The sequence below is a fragment of the Homo sapiens genome, chromosome 7, assembly GCF_000001405.40.
Source record: "Homo sapiens chromosome 7, GRCh38.p14 Primary Assembly".
NCBI classification, from domain to species: domain Eukaryota; kingdom Metazoa; phylum Chordata; class Mammalia; order Primates; family Hominidae; genus Homo; species Homo sapiens.
Window position 1 is genome coordinate 42,660,968 of NC_000007.14, and position 16,192 is coordinate 42,677,159.

Below are 16,192 nucleotides of genomic sequence, written 5' to 3' on the forward strand. Positions count from 1 at the left end.
GTCAAATCACGTACTGCAGGAAAACATCACAGATCTGATAGTGGACTTGTATCCAGAATATATAAGGAACTCTTAAAACCCAACAATAATAATAAGAAAACAATCAATTTTTGTAATGTGCAAAAGAACAGATGCTCCACCGAATAAAATCTACATGCAGAAGCTATCCCTTATTCACAGAGGATATGTTCCAAGAACCCGAGTGGATGTCTGAAATCATAGATAGTACCAAACCTTATAAATAGATAGATAGATAATATACAATAGGATAGATATTTTTTCCTATGTATACATACCTACAATAAAGTTTAATTTATAAATTAGACACAGTAAGAGATTCACAGTAATAACTTATGGTGCAATTAGAACAATTATAAAAATATGCCAGCATCACTACTCTTGTGCTTTGGAACCTTTATTAAGTAAAATGAGGGTTTCCAGAACACAAGCACTGCAGTACCAAGAAAGTTAATCTTATAGCCAGGGCAGCTAAGTGACTAACAAGTGGGTAGCATAGGCATTGTGGATATGCTGGACAAAGGGATGAGTCACATCCGGGATTGAATGGCACAAAATTTCATCATGCTACTCAGAAGGGCTTGTAATTTAAAACTTATGAATTGTTTATTTACGGAATTTTCCATTTAATATTTTTGGATTGCAGTTGACCAAAGGTAGCTGAAACTGGAAAGTAAGACTACAAATGAGGTGGGAACTATTGTATAGCAAATAGGCACATACAAAGATGCTCAATATAATTTGTTATTTCAGAAATTTAATTAAAATTAAAAACACAATGAGATACTCTACAAACATTTTAGAATGGCTAAAATTAAAGACTGACCATATCGAGCATTGGTGTGAATGTGGAGGAATAGACTCCCATACATTGCTGGTGGGAATGTAAAGTATACAACCACATTGGAAAATGGTCAGCAAGTTTCGTAAACAGTTAAATATACATCTACCTTATGATACAGCCACTCTACTCCTAGGCATTTACTCAAGATAAATAAAAGCATATGTTCATGCAAAGACATGAATACAATTTTTATAGCAGCTTTTAAAAACAATAGGCAAAAAGCTGGAAACAATATAAATATCCACCACGAGCTGAAGGAATAAACATACTGTGGTATGCCCATACAATGAAATACTAGTCAGCAATAAATAAGAATAAACTATTGATACATGCCACAACAAGGGTGAATCTCAAAATAATTATGCCAAGTGAAGGAAACTAAACTCCAAAGAGAGTCCACACTATATGATTCTATTAATATAAAATTCCAGAAAATGCAAACTAACCTATAGTTGATTAGCAGTTCCAAGAACAAGGAAGGATGGGAAGGATTGTGCAGAAACTTTGGGAGCACGTGGACATGTTCATTATCTTGATTGTAGTGATAGTTTTACAGGTATATACTTATGTCAACATTTATCCAAGTGTATACTTTGTTGATTACTTTTCTTGTAGCCATAATGATACGATCATTGTGTATCAAATAAACCTCAGTAAAGCTTTCTAAAAAGTAACAAAAGACATAGAAACAGGTTCAACTTATATTTAACAAGAATTTTAGAAAGAGTAAATACAGTGAGTCAAAGGTAATATTTGCATCAAAATGGCTAAATATTTTTGAGAATTGGGAAGAATAAAAACAAAAATGTGAGTCTACAAATTTAGCAAGCATATTTAGTTCGAGCAGAATAATAACAACAGAAAAATTATTAACACCTAGGCATAAGTGTAACAGCAGAAAACCAACAATAAAGATTAAATCTTTAAAACACAAAACAAAAACAGAGCAAGATTTACAAACATACACATTTCTAAATGCAAACGTTATCATCTGCAACAACAGAGCCCAGATGACAATGGGAAAATAGCTTAATGGTTGCCGAAACTCACTAGTCTGAACTTAATCCTGAGGAAGTGGTGGGTCCTGAAGGCTTTTAAGTAGAGGAGTGATAAGACCAGATTTGTATTTTAGGAAGATCCATCTGGCAAAGTTCAGATCAAGAGGATTTAAGCTTTTGTAATTCAAGAAGTAAGGGCTGAGAGCCTGTACCAAGGGGCAAGGGGAATGGAAAGAACTAATGAGGAGGTGGAATTAAAGGGATTTGGAACTGAATGTTTTAGTGAACAAAGACAGGAATCAAGAATGACTCCTCAGTTTCTGGACAATACAGAAGAAACTGATTTGAGTGGAGAGTAAATGATGAGTTCAGTGTCCTTGCAGAGAGAATTTGAATGCCTAAGATTATCCAGTTGGAACTGTCTAAACAGATCTGTGTTTGTTTTGTTTTGTTTTGTTTTGTTTTTTTGGATATGTGACAGTCTGGAGAAAAAGACTGGGAAGTTATCCAGGATCTTCATAGGTATGAATTAAATTCATCTGCCATGAGTGCATTGAATAAGAAGGGAATTTATCATACAACAGGATCATCTAAGGAATCCTTATTTACTGTTTTGACTATTATAAAGAATTCAAAGAATAAGTACAAATTGGCTAAACTCCATTGCCCACATATAATAGCCTTGTTGACAGCATTCCATTATGTAATGTATATTTGCATGTATAAGGAAAGGATATATAAATATGCAAACTTATTTTAAATGGCATTATATTATATATGTTACTTTCAAAGTAATTACTTTCATTTTAACTGAATTTCACAGAAAATAAAAACACCAAAAAGAAACTTGAAGGACTCACTGAATTTGAAGAAAATATTTCTTCAACCTCAAGAAATATTGTCTTCTAAAAGATTTCAGAAAGGTTATAATATAATATGAAAATACGAAGTGATTTTTTAATATACATGTTTACAAATCAAAAAGTCCCAATGGCTCCTTGTTAACCTTTAAACTAATTTCCCAAATGATGTGTACACAAGTCTTTTTTGAATCTTGTCCCAGTTTTCCTTTCCTTTCCATATTCATGTCCCACCACACCTACCCACACACCAAAACCTCCAAACCCAATTAACAACTCTAAGTAGAATGAAATCTCTGAGGACATTCAGGTATATCTACATTGTGTTTCTGCCTTCACCCAGAGCAAATTGCCTCACTGCAAGTTTAAGTGATCCTTAAACACGTATGACTCCTCCCAGCATGCACCTGCCACTTTAATTTATTAATTGGTGATTAAGTGTGCTTTGATGCTACGATGGCTTCCTACTAAGAGAAAGGCTTGTAAAAATCAGTCTGCTACCACTGCCTTCAGAAAAGCTGACTTAGAACCCTTTCTCTCCAACGTTACTTTAAGCTGGGGTGAGGGGTTGGAGTTGGGTGGACAACTAAGTGAATTCACTAATTATGAAAGGGCTGGGCTGGCAGTCCCGAGAGTTCAGATGCTCTTCCCTCTGAAGATGGAAGACATTGCCCAAGTACAGCCACCATCTCCCGACAGCACATCTCAACCCTGCCTGAGACAACAAATAATCTAGCAGCTCCTTTCTTCAGAGTATGGAAATCTTGTAATATAAGAGTAAACCTATGGGTTGGTCTCTAAGTGCAAATCCTCCATTGATTTTCATAAATGGCCTTAAGTTGAGGTATCAGTGCAGAGTGATAAAGAATGCAGGCTTTTGATTCCTAAAGACATAGGTTCAAACCTCAGCTCTACAACTTACTCCCTGAGTGACCTTGGGCAATTTGCTGAACCCCACTTTATTTCCACTTCTTCACCTGAGAAATGGGGCTAATTATAAAACCTACCACACAGTTTGATCATGAATATTAAATTATCTAACACATAAAACAATTGGACAAATAGAAAATGGCTAATCATATATTGAATGGTTAATAAATACTTTTAACAGTAATAACCTTGTAAAAACTGATGGTGGCCAATGGCTAGTCTGAGTTATGAATAGAAAGAAGGGGGATAAAAAGGAGGCAGGGAATAAAAATTTGGAGAGAGAAAAGAATAATCAAAATTAAGGGCATGCGACAGCTTTATGTGCAACATCCAGTTAATTAAATAAGAAGTCATGTTTGAGATCCTGAATTACTCAAATTAGTCATTGGTGCTGAATCAATCACTTCCCAGCCCTCTCCCTGAATCTGCACTGGATAGATATGGAAATAACCAAGACTCAAAAGCAGCAATGTATGAAAGTTGTTTGTCTTCTACGGTAGGGAAATATGAACCTTCTAGACCTACTACTCCCCAAAGCAACAGGAGCTTGTAGTTCTAGTAAAAATAGTGACCATGATGCCATATTTGAGAAATGCTTTCCTCAGCTGGGTCCCTAATGTCTTAAACAAAGGAAGACTCTACTTCACCTCCTAGAACTTTCCTTCTGCTTACTTCTTTTTACAATCATTTTTTCCTTCTCATTTACTTTTTTTTCTTCAGTAAATTTTCTTCTCTCAATTATCATTTGGAAGAAAAAATAACATGTGTCACTTCCATGTAGATTTCTTGGTGCTTAATTCCCCCAAGCTCTCTTCTTCCTGTTGTGGTAAATTCTAACACATCACATTAAGTTAAAAACACCATGGAATTGAAGCCGTGTGTTTTGAAAGCCATTGCATGGAGGACAACTCTCCAAAAGAGATTTTCAGATCCGTATCAGGCTTTGCACAAGAGAAAAAGGAACTCTTCTTGGGTAAGTCACTGAGATTTGGCTGTTGTTTCTTACTCAGCATTACTCAGCCTATTCTGACTGATACATAGTTGCCTGTCCTTTTCATCCTGCTACAAATGAGATAAAACAATAATGATTCTCACTAAGAATTTGCAATCCTAAATCTGCTCTCCAGCAGATCTAGGGTTCAATTCACACTTCCTGCATACAGGAAAATCCAAGCCCAAAAAAGTTTAATTAAATGTTAACATGTTATTCATATCAAACTCACATTTTTCTGAAAAAAATTATCGCCAGTGATACAATAGTTCATGTTCAACTAAGTAGGAGCTTAGAATACCAGAGAGTGTATTTCCATACACTGGGGAAACCTACCACACTGTTTGGTAGAAAAGTAAGCAGATAAAGAACAAAGATCAGAGCCTCTCCAGTATAACTGGTGTTACAATGATCACATTTACAACATAAAGTCAATATGTTTGAAATATTTCAAGATAAATATGGACTGTAAAAAATTAGCAAGCAGTGTGGCACTACCAAAATGATCAGGTTTAGAAATAGATATAATTATTTCAGTAAAAGCAAAAACCCTCAATGGATTAGGCAACTGAAATGAGAGTTAGTAAGGTAAAAGTTAGAAATAAAGAAACTTACCTAATAGGCAGCATAGAAAGCTCAGGAGATGGAAAATATAAAAAAGAAGGGTAAGGCATGGAGGATAGGCAATGCAAATTTATTCTTTGTATAATCTTACCTGACAAACAAAAAGAACCTAAAGAGATTGACTTCCAGGAAAATGGTGAGACCAGTTCACGCTATAGGCAATCTACAGACAAGAACCTCCAGCCATGTGATCAGAGCTGCCAATCAACAACATAGAACTCTGCTCTGGCAATCAGCAACTAGCCAAGAACAACAGCACTGCAGCAGAAGTTCTCAAGCACAGAAGACAAAGTCCACAAAAATAAATAAAAGCAGCATGGATCAAACAGACTATAAAGGGAGATAAATACTTTAAAAATCTATTATTAATTTCAGAGAAATAAGAAATTATATTGCATCCACAAAACAAGAACTGAGTGCTTTAAAAAATAATAATAAAATTGGAAAGAGCACTTGGAAATAAAAATCACATTGACAGAAATGAAAGACTCAGCAGAAAAGTTCTAAGATAGAGGAAGTCTCCCAGAAAAATAGAGCAAAAGGACAACATGGAAAACAATGGACACAGCAAAGATACAAATGATACTTAGAAAATCAGTCCAGGGTGAACAGAGATACTTCAAAAACATTCCAGACATGAAGAACACAATTTTCAAATTGAAAATTACCATCTGGTACCCAGTATAATGGATGAAACTGGGCAGGCAACAGATGACATTATGAAATTTCAGTATACTGAGGATAAGGAAGAGATCCTAAGAATGTACTTTGTAAAAACCATGTTGGAACATAGAAGGCAATGGAATAAGGTCTTAGAAATTCTAATTAAAATTTTTTGTGAACAGAATTACATAGGTATCAAATTGTTACTCTATTGTGAGGGTAGAATAAAAATGTTACATGTGCAGGGTATAAAATATTTATTTCCCATGCATACTTTCTCAGGAAGCCAGTGACACCTACATCAATTCGGTTGACAGCAGGAAATAAAGGGCACACTGAAAAGGAGGGAAATCGAGTCTAATTGAGGTATATTTTACAAAGGTGTGGGGCAGGCAGCAAGGAGGAAAGGGGATGAAGCACTCCTGTGCTAGAAATGATGGGAAACAATTATCATCCCTAGGCCAGAAGGGCCGAGGAGGGCAGTGGTTTCTGGAAAAAGAGTAGCTTTACTTTCAGTCAGGGCAGCCCTAGGAACTTGTGGAATTCAGTGAAGGAACATGGACAGCTAGTGGGGACTAGGACAGAGGGAAGCCATGGTTAAACACTCTGGCATTGTGCCCCTCTTCTTCTGTCTCCTGTTGGTGCTTCCTGCTGGCCTAGTCCACTAGCAAAGTCAGAGAGCAAGAGATTTATGCAGTGCATAAAAATCAGCCTCGCAGGACACAAAGTAGTAGAAAAGTCCGGAGAGTGGATCTGTGGGGCAACTAAGACTGTCTGTGCAGCACACTCTCCTAAACCCAACAATGAGGGTTGCCAAAAGCAGGAAAGAAATCAGATCCAAGAAACAGCTTCCAACTCAGGAAAGAGGCAAACACATTCCCAAAATCCCAGCAAAAGTAGTAGAGCTAGAGAACAATTAGCGCATTCTGGAGTAGGTCAGAAGTCTCCAAGAAAATGAAAACAATACAACACCTAATGTGTTTGAAGTGTTTACAGGTGGCTTTGTTAAACAGGAGAGAGTTTGGATACGTCATATTGTATGAAACTAAACAAATAAAAAAAAAGACAATTGTTGACTATATAGAAAATAGACATTTGTACAATAAGAAGAAGATATCATGGATATTAGATGATTAAATATAAAAGGATAGAAATAATGTACTAAACAAATTACCAAACAAAGTAAGTGTAGTTCTGTGAATTTCAGACATAATAGATTTCTCATATAAGATTATTTATTGGAGAGTAAAAAAGTTGCTACACAATGAAAAAATTTCACATTACTAGGAATCAAGTAACCTAATATCTCAAGTATACAAACAAAATTATTTTTTAAATTACAAAGAGAGGCCAGGTGTGGTGGCTCACGTGTGTAATCCCAGAACTTTGGGAGGCCGAGGAGGGTGAATCACCTGAGGTCAGGAGTTTGAGATCAGCCTGACCAAAATGGAGAAACCCCGTCTCTACTAAAAATACAAAATTAGCCCGGCGTGGTGGTGCATGCCTGTAATCCCAGCTACTCGGGAGGCTGAGGCAGGAGAATCTCTTGAACCCGGGAAGCAGAGGTTGCAGTGAGCCAAGGTTGTGCCATTGTACTCCAGCCTGTGCAACAAGAGCGAAAATCCATCTCAAAAAATAAATAAATAAATAAATAAATAAATAAAATTACAAAGAGAAACTGACAAATTCACTATCATAGTGGGAATCACTTAACATTTGTTATTGATAAGTCAAACTAACATCCCCAATAGTAGAGATACAGGAAATTTGAACAATACAATTTACAGGCTTGAGAGAGATAAATACATAGATAAGTAGATAGAAAACTAAGTACTCAATAATTAAAGAATATACATTTTCTATCTGCTTTATATACACTGTAATATTTATTACAACATTACATACTAAGCTCTTAAAAAATCTCAGCAAATCTGGTATCAGCCAGATTGTGTTTTCTGACAGCAATGGAACTAATTTACAAATCTAAAAACGAAAAGATGGCTAAGAAAAAGGCGCACGCCTGTAGTCCCAGCTACTACTCGGGAGGTTGAGACAGAAGAATCGCTTGAACCCGGGAGGTAGGGGGTTGCAGTGAGCTGAGATCACTCACTGCACTTCAGCCTGGGTGATAGAGCTAGACTCTGTCTCAAAAAAAAAAAAAAAAAAAAAAGACTGTATTTATACGGAAATTTTAAAATGTGCTTCTAAATAATGCACAAGTAAAAGTCAAAATCATATTTTAAAGTATGAACTACTGGAATGGAATGGTACATAAAAACTACATTTTAAAACTTAAAATGGGTTAAATCTAAAGTGTTTCTTAGAGGAAAATGTTTAGTCTTAAATGTCTTATTAGAAAGAAAGGAGAAATAAAATTAATGAGCTAAGTATTCAGCTAAAGAAGCTGCAGAAAGAATCACAAAATAAACTTTAAAAAAACAGATAGAAGAGGGCTGGGTGTGGTGGCTCACATGTGTAATCCTAGCATGGGATTTGGGAGGCTTTTGGGAGGCTGAGGCGGGCATGGTGGTGCATGCCTATAATCCGTGCTACTTGGGAGGCTGAGGCAGGAGAATCGCTTGAGCCAGGAGGCAGAGGTTGGAATGAGCTGAGATTGTGTCACTGCACTCCAGCCTGGGCAACAGAGTGAGACTCCAACTCAAAAAAAAAAAAGTAGATAGAGTAGATAGAAGCTATAAGTATGATATCAGATATTAATGAAATAGAAAATAAAATTTAAAACAATGAACAAAGCCTAAAGCTGGTTATCAGAAAAGAATTATGAGACAAAGCTCTAAGGACATTGCTCAAGACAAAAGGAAGAAAAGGCATACATGAACAATATAAAGAAAATGCTTTTAAAAGTCAACCTTAATCAACATATTTAAATACTTAGAAAATGGCATGTTTTTACAAAATATAACTTAGCAAATAGAATGCAAGAAAAATCTTGCAACATTAAGAAATTGAATCAATTGGTTAAAATCTTCCCAGAAAGAAAACACCAAGCCCAAAATATTGCACTGGAAAATTTTACCAAACTTTCAAATCACAAAGTATTCCAGTGTTATTTAAAGTCTTCCAGAGAGCATAAATGGTGGTGCACTCCTCACTCATTATATGATGAACCTAAGATTAGTATGACAAAATAAACAGAACATTATGTACAAGAAAATTATGTACAAGAACATTATGTACCACTCATAAATATGTATGCAAAAATCCTAAACATAATTTGACAGTACAAATTCACCAGCGTTAAAAATAAATATGCAATGGCTAAATTGAGTTTATCCCAGAAATGTAGGACTGATTTAAAGTTAAATAATCTGCAGATGTTGAAAATGGCAGGCCAGCTCTTTAGACTAAACTTCCTACTGAAAAGAATTTAAAATGCTGCATAGAAATCTTTTTTAAAAAAATCACCAAACTTCTGAAATAGTGTAAGAAATTCTTAAGCAAACATCTAAGAAAAGCAGGACAGTAGGAAGAGATCCAGAACAACTTCAGATACAATAAATATTATATACAGAAGAAGCATGGCAGAGCAATGGGAAAAGGATTTAATTCCTAGTGCTTGACCGATGGATTAATCTCATAGAAAAATAAATAAGAGACTTATACCCCTATGCCAACTGAAAAATTAATTCCAGATGAATTAAAGACTTAAAAATAAAACTTGATAACTTTGGAAGAGAAGGTGGATCTTTATTATCTCCAGGAAAAAAAGGATTCAGTAAATAAGATACAAAAAGCAAAACTCAAAAGAAAATAAATTCTGCTATGTACATATTATAAATATCTGTTTATGAAAGAATCTATTATTATTACGAAAGAACTTGTTATCATTAAACCTAAAAAGGTCACAAATTGGGCAAAGATATTCTCTTTTTTTTTTGAGACGGAGTCTCCCTCTGTCGCCCAGGCTGGGGTGCAGTGGCGCCATCTCAGCTCACTGCAAGCTCCACCTCCCGGATTCATGCGATTCTCCTGCCTCAGCTTCCCAGTAGCTGGGACTACAGGCGCCCGCCACCACACCCAGCTAATTTTTTGTATTTTTAGTAGAGACGGGGTTTCATTGTGTTAACCAAGATGGTCTCGATCTCCTGACCTCGTGATCCACCCACCTCGGCCTCCCAAAGTGCTGGGATTACAGGCATGAGCCACCGTGCCCAGGCAAAAATATTTTCAATGCATGATCTCCGAAAGGGATTATTATCTAATATTTTGAAAGGACTTATATAAATCAATTTTAAAAAGTAACATGAAAATTGGCAAGAATATAAATAGGCAACACATTAAAAAAAATGAAAACAAATTAACAAATGACATGATGCTCAATTTTGTTAATAATGAACCAAAGGCAAATTAAAATCATGACATACACTCTTAAACCCAAAAGATTGGTAAATTTTAAGAAATGAAAAACATTTTGTGAGCATGTAGAACAATGGGGATTCATACTCTGTTGCTGACAATGTAAACTGGTTCAACCATTTTAGAAAACAATTTGGCATTTTCTCTTAAATTTGGAGATATGCATAAGGTATGGCTCAGGAATTTTACTCTTATTTTATGTCCCAGAGAAATGCTTGCAAGCATATCCAATATGACATGTACATAACACCAGTATTTGTTGTAATAATAACTGGAAACAGCTGCTGTCTATAGGTATAGCCATGCAATAGAATACTATACATAGCGAAATATAATTACACTGGCACACATCTACATGGGTGAGTTGGGAAAATGAAAAGTTGAGACATCAATACAGTTGCCAAAGAAGACAGGTAGAACTGTTCCTTTTCCATAAAAGTCAAAATTATATGAAGCATCACAATATCTGTGTTTGGGAAAGCATTCTTATGAGGCAAAACCATACCAAAAGCAAGTGATTCATAAATGTAAATTTCACAATAGTGGAAACTTAGCTGGGGAAGGATGGGAGTAGTAACAATGAGAGGCACAAGAAGGTGTTTGACACTATTAGTCATGCTCTATTGCTTAAGCTTTGTCGTTTACTTGATTAATTGGATTGTTAAAAAGTAAAAACCTCATCTCAATTAGGGAAAAGCATCTCACCACAACCTGCAGGGATTTGCTCAGCTCAGCCCTCTCCACCTCTGCAGTTTCACTTACCACCTCTCTAACATATATTTATCATTTTCCAAACACACTGGCCTTCTTTTAGTTCCTCAAAAACTCCAAATGTTTTCCCATCTCTGTGCTTTTTCTGCTATTCCTTCTGCCCAGAAAATTTAGTGAAGACTCAGGAAAACCTGTCCCTGGGAAGCATAAAAAGGCCCCTCAGAACAATGTGAAACTCAGGCAGTGAAGACCATGCTCTCAGTGTTTAACTATCATGCTCCATCCAAATCAAGGAGTGTGAAAACCAGGAGAAGTCATGAGTATCTGGTCCAGTGCAAATTGGAGCAAAGTAGCAGCACATGCCTCAAGTCATGTTTCCTAGAAGATTCCTGCAAGACTGATAACAGCAGAACTTAATACAGAAAAGCAAATTCCAATAAATAAATGAAATCCTACACTTCATTCCCCTGGATATTTGTTTCCTGCTTGGCTCCAAAGCTCAGGGTGCAGGTTTGGCCCCAGAGTCAGGTGGGTGGCTGACATTCAGCACTAGCATTAGCTGTGCTGCACAGCAGCCTGGGTCAGGACTGGGCAGACTCCTCCAGGAGAAGCACTGCAGGAATTAGGATGGAAAAGTTAAGCAAGCAAACAAACAAAAAAACAACTTTGGAGTCGTTTTACCTCTAGGTGTAACTAACTTTGTGACCATGAGCAAGTGAAAACAGGAAGTTTAGGAAGAAACTTGAGCGTGTACTAAATGCCACCTCATCCTAAATGCTTTACATGTTGCTAATTACTCACCACAATCAAAATTTAAAGTGGATTTCACTGCATTGTGTTTCAGATGGATGACTTCACCATAGACATTATGTCACTTTTCTGAGGTTAGGAAGTAGCCAATCTAGGATCCACCTGATTCCAAGTCTGATGCTCTGTTAGCACATCCAGCTGTTTTCTATCAGATCTCTGTGGGCTTCAGTCTCCTCATCTATCAAAACAAACAAACAAATATGGGATTGCAACAAATGATACCTTCTGCCTCTTTCATATTTTCAGTCCTAGCAATGGCAATGCTGGTATCAGCTCCGTATTCCTCAGCTCTTTGCCTATGGTAGGGAAGACTCATGAAGACATTCATCATGTCAAGACCTTGCAGATTTGCTTTTGGACTTCCAAACTATTGTCCTCAAAGGAATGTGAAGAATAATGACTTCTTCAAAAGCTGGAGTAAATTTATAACATCTTAGGGCCTTTCCTTCAATTTGAAGGCCCCATTCTTGGTGCTGACAAATGCTGAATGAAGGTTGGCTGCCCCATGCTGGAACAATCACTAAAATGAACAATAGGAAGATGTTGAGGTCAAATGTATTAGTTTTCTGTTGCTATGTAATATATTACCACGAAACTTAGCAGCTTAAAGTAACACACATTTATTATCTCACAGATTCTGTGGGTCGGTATTCTGGAAACAGTTTCTGTGGGTCAGGATTCTGGACACAGCTTAGGTGAATTTCCTGCTTAGAATCTCACAAGGCTGTAATCAAGAGATTGCCTGAGCTGTGTTTTCACCTGGAGGCTCCACTAGGGAAGAATCTGCTTCCAAGTTCACTCAGACTGTTGGCAGATTAATTTCCTTGCAGTTTTAAGACTGAGGGTCCCAGCATCTTGCTGGTATTAGTTGGAGGCTCCCTCAGCTCCTGTAGGTTGCCCACAGATCCTGACTTTCACTCACGTCCATGTGAAGAGACCACCAAACAGGCTTGTGTGAGCAATAAAGCTTTTTAATCACCTGGGTGCAGGCGGGCTGAGTCCGAAACGGAGTCAGTGAAGGGAGATAGGGGAGGGGTCGTCTTATAAGATTTGGGTAGGTAGTGGAAAATTATAGTCAAAGGGGGTTGTTCTCTGGCTGGCAGGGGTGGGGGTCATAAGGTGCTCAGTGGGGGAGCTTTCGAGCCAGGAGAAGGAATTTCACAAGGTAATGTCATCAGTTAAGGCAGGGACCGGCCATTTTCACTTTTTTTGTGGTGGAATGTCATCAGTTAAGGCAGGAACTGGCCATTTTCACTTCTTTTGTGATTCTTTACTTGCTTTGGGCCATCTGGACGTATACGTGCACGTCACAAGGGATACCATGGCTTAGCTTGGGCTCAGAGGCCTGACACTAACCACACAGGCTTTCCCAAAATAGCCTGTTACTTCATCAAGCCCAGTGGCAGTCTCTAGAGTTCCATTTATGTTTACGTACATGAACAACTGCTTTTGCCTAGCACTAGGTATATGATGTGTCGTCCTTACTCCCAATTCCATTTTTTATAGGAGATTGGATACATAAATACCTAAAATTAAGTACCCAGTCAATCATGAAAATGTTCTGGAATTAGATAGTGGTGATGAGTGCACAGCTTTGTGAATGCACTAAAACCACTGAATGGCACAACTTAAAAGGATAAATGTTATGATGGATGAACTACATTCAACAAGAACAACTAAATCCTTCAAACTATTCATAAAGTGTACATGCAAAATAGAAATTTCATACCTGCAAGGATTTAGAGAATGTGCTTTTCATGTACCTATTCTTTAAAAGCTACTAAAGAATGTGCCTTGGGAAAACAAAAAATTCAATCAAAAAGAGGAGAACATAATACTTGAGAAACCATGAAGACAGATGACAGGTCCTAGGACAGGAGCTATACAGTAGGCTATGCTGCAGGAATGCAGTTGCAAATGCTGCCAAAATTCCCAGAAAGGATGGCCTGAATCCACCAGAGACACTCAGCCATAAATCCCCAGCAAGCAGCACACAGGGCATTTCTAGAGCCCAGACCTTCCCTAGAAAAGATGACACCACTGAAAAGGACTGACATTATTTAGAAACCCCCAGAAATCTAAGCTGGGGAATAAAACACAGACATTTGGCCTTCTGCCCATAAACTTGGATCCATTGGGGATTCTACTAAAACGATTCAAAACTTTACTCAGCCATTAACATGGTAGTTTGGTAAATTGGTTTTATAACTCATCTATCAACTTTTGCAAACGAGGCATATTTATTTCTCACAGTTCTGGAGGTTGGGAAGTCCATAATCAAGGTGCTAGCAGATTTGGTGTCCAGTGAGGACCCGCTTCCTGGTTCAAAGGCAGCCATCTCTTCACTGTGTCCTCACATAGTGGAACCGGCAAGGGAGCCCTCTGGGCTTCTTTTATAAGGGCACCAATCCCATGACCTAATCATTTCCCCAAAGGCCCCCACCTTCTAATATCATGTCCTTGGGCATTAACATTTCAACATACAAATTTATGAATTTTAGGGAGATGCATATATTCAGACCATAGCACAAGTCAATAAGTGAGTAAAACAAGGAGAGAGAGAAGCACACATTTTCTTCTGTAGAATAGCAAAGAAGTAGATTTTTGAAGAAGTAGTGATAAATAAAACTCAATTCAGTCGTGGCCAAGTCATCAGAGCAAGGAATACCCATTGGATGCTCGTCACTCTGCATTCCCATACACTATATTTCAGCCTGCTTAGTGCAAACTATAAAAAGTAAGTAAGCAATAAATCTGTTAAATGATAATATATATTGTACTCTATTTGTTTTTTAAATAATTTTTATTGTTTATTATTATTCTTTTTAGAGACAGAGTTTTGCTCTGTCACTCAGGCTGGAGTCCAATGGCACAATCATAGCTCACTGTAGCCCCAGACTCCTAGGCAAGTAATCCTCCCTCCTGAGTAGCTGCAGATATGCATCACCACACTCAGCTGATTTTTAAATTTTATGTTGTGTAGAGACAGGGTATCACCATGTTGTCCAGACTGGTCTTAAACTCCTGGCCTCAAGCAATTCTCCTGCCTTGGTCTCTCAAAGAATTGGGATTACCATCATGAGCCACCATGCCCAGCCTATTCACATGATTTTATGACTACAAAAATATATGTATACTTCCTCATAGAAATGCCTTAAAGAAAGAAGTGTTAATTATTTCTTTCTATATCATAAGTGCCATGCATCTTGCTAAGATATATTAGATCTGCAAAGTGTTTATTGAATTAATTTCTAAAAATAATAAAACTCTTAGCTTTGTTGCGTGCATATATATATATATACAAGTAAAATGCTTATTGCACAGACTAAACTCATTGGAGTAAAAACAACAAACAGTTTTATTTTTTCCTCCAGCACCTTAAATATGCTATACAACCCCTCCCTTCCCTTAGCAACATCTGAGTCAGATGCCATGGTCCCTCTCAGGTATTGAGAATGGGGTGGAGGAAATGTTTTTAGTTTATATTATTTAACAGTTCCTGCTGATGTAGTTCTTTTGGTCACCATGGGCTGGCCTAAAGTGGCATCTCTCATGGGGTGCATGTGCCACCTCTCTAGAAGCCATGTGCAGACTAATGTAGCTAATGTGCTCTCCAGCTCTCCTCTGTGACCATCCACAAGCACCTGTCCCTAGAAGTACTCCTGACAAAGATGCTCACAGCTGGCATGGAGCCCAAAGCTAGTCCTCTTCATAAGGGTACCTTTAAAAAGCCTTTAGGCTGGTTCTCTTCTCCCATGTCTGTGCACTTTGAAAAATTCAAGCATCCTTGCCATGCACCTGACCTTTGTCCTTACCCTGCAATTGCACCTGCTCAATCCAGCTTCCTGCCATCAGGACTCTCCAGGTCAGAAGTGAGCATTGCTGTCCACACTCACAAACACCACAAGTTTTCAGAGACACACAAAATTATCCTGAGAACTCCCTCACCAATCTTCCTTCTGCTGGACTGGAAGCCCTGGGGAAGGCCTGCAGACACCATAGCTCAGCAAATCACCTCACTGTGGAGGGAAATGCAGGCTTCTTTTCTCTCAGCAACCACAATTTCCATCCACAGTTTTCTTAGAGCCCTTCTCATCTGGTTTGAGGGACGGGAAATGCTGGGCAGTCCCCACTTAGGCAACAATGCAACATGAAAACTGCTAAAACTTCCTCCACTACATTTAACTCCCCTTAACATTTATACTCTTCTCTTTCTATAAATATTTGACAGTGGAACAGGGACTTGTAAGACTACTTTGGCTATCTCTTAACAATTCCTGGGGAAGATATGCGCATTTGGAAGAATATGAAGTACTTTTCAATCCTTGTCCTCAGCCTGGGGCCTTCAACGGAAGTGTTAGATGAC

The 16,192-nt window shown here is 37.6% G+C and overlaps 1 long non-coding RNA gene across 1 annotated transcript in view, besides 1 other annotated feature; it reads right to left on the reverse strand.

The window, feature by feature from the left end:
• Window positions 80–1,279: an enhancer, noted in NCBI's record as "P300/CBP strongly-dependent group 1 enhancer chr7:42700646-42701845 (GRCh37/hg19 assembly coordinates)". NCBI's record gives its function as "activates an origin of replication core promoter dependent on BRD2, BRD4, P300/CBP, MED14 and CDK7 cofactors, with strong dependence on P300/CBP, by STARR-seq in HCT116 cells {active_cell/tissue: HCT116}" and the evidence as "EXISTENCE:reporter gene assay evidence [ECO:0000049][PMID:35650434]".
• Window positions 759–16,192, reverse strand: part of LINC01448 (long intergenic non-protein coding RNA 1448) — a 44,722-nt gene continuing 29,288 nt past the window's right edge. The window contains exons 2-3 of the long non-coding RNA NR_110833.1: window positions 11,818–12,004; window positions 759–1,525 (exon numbers count right to left, since the gene is read on the reverse strand). This is a non-coding gene — a long non-coding RNA (long intergenic non-protein coding RNA 1448). The remainder of the gene's footprint in view (window positions 1,526–11,817; window positions 12,005–16,192) is intronic.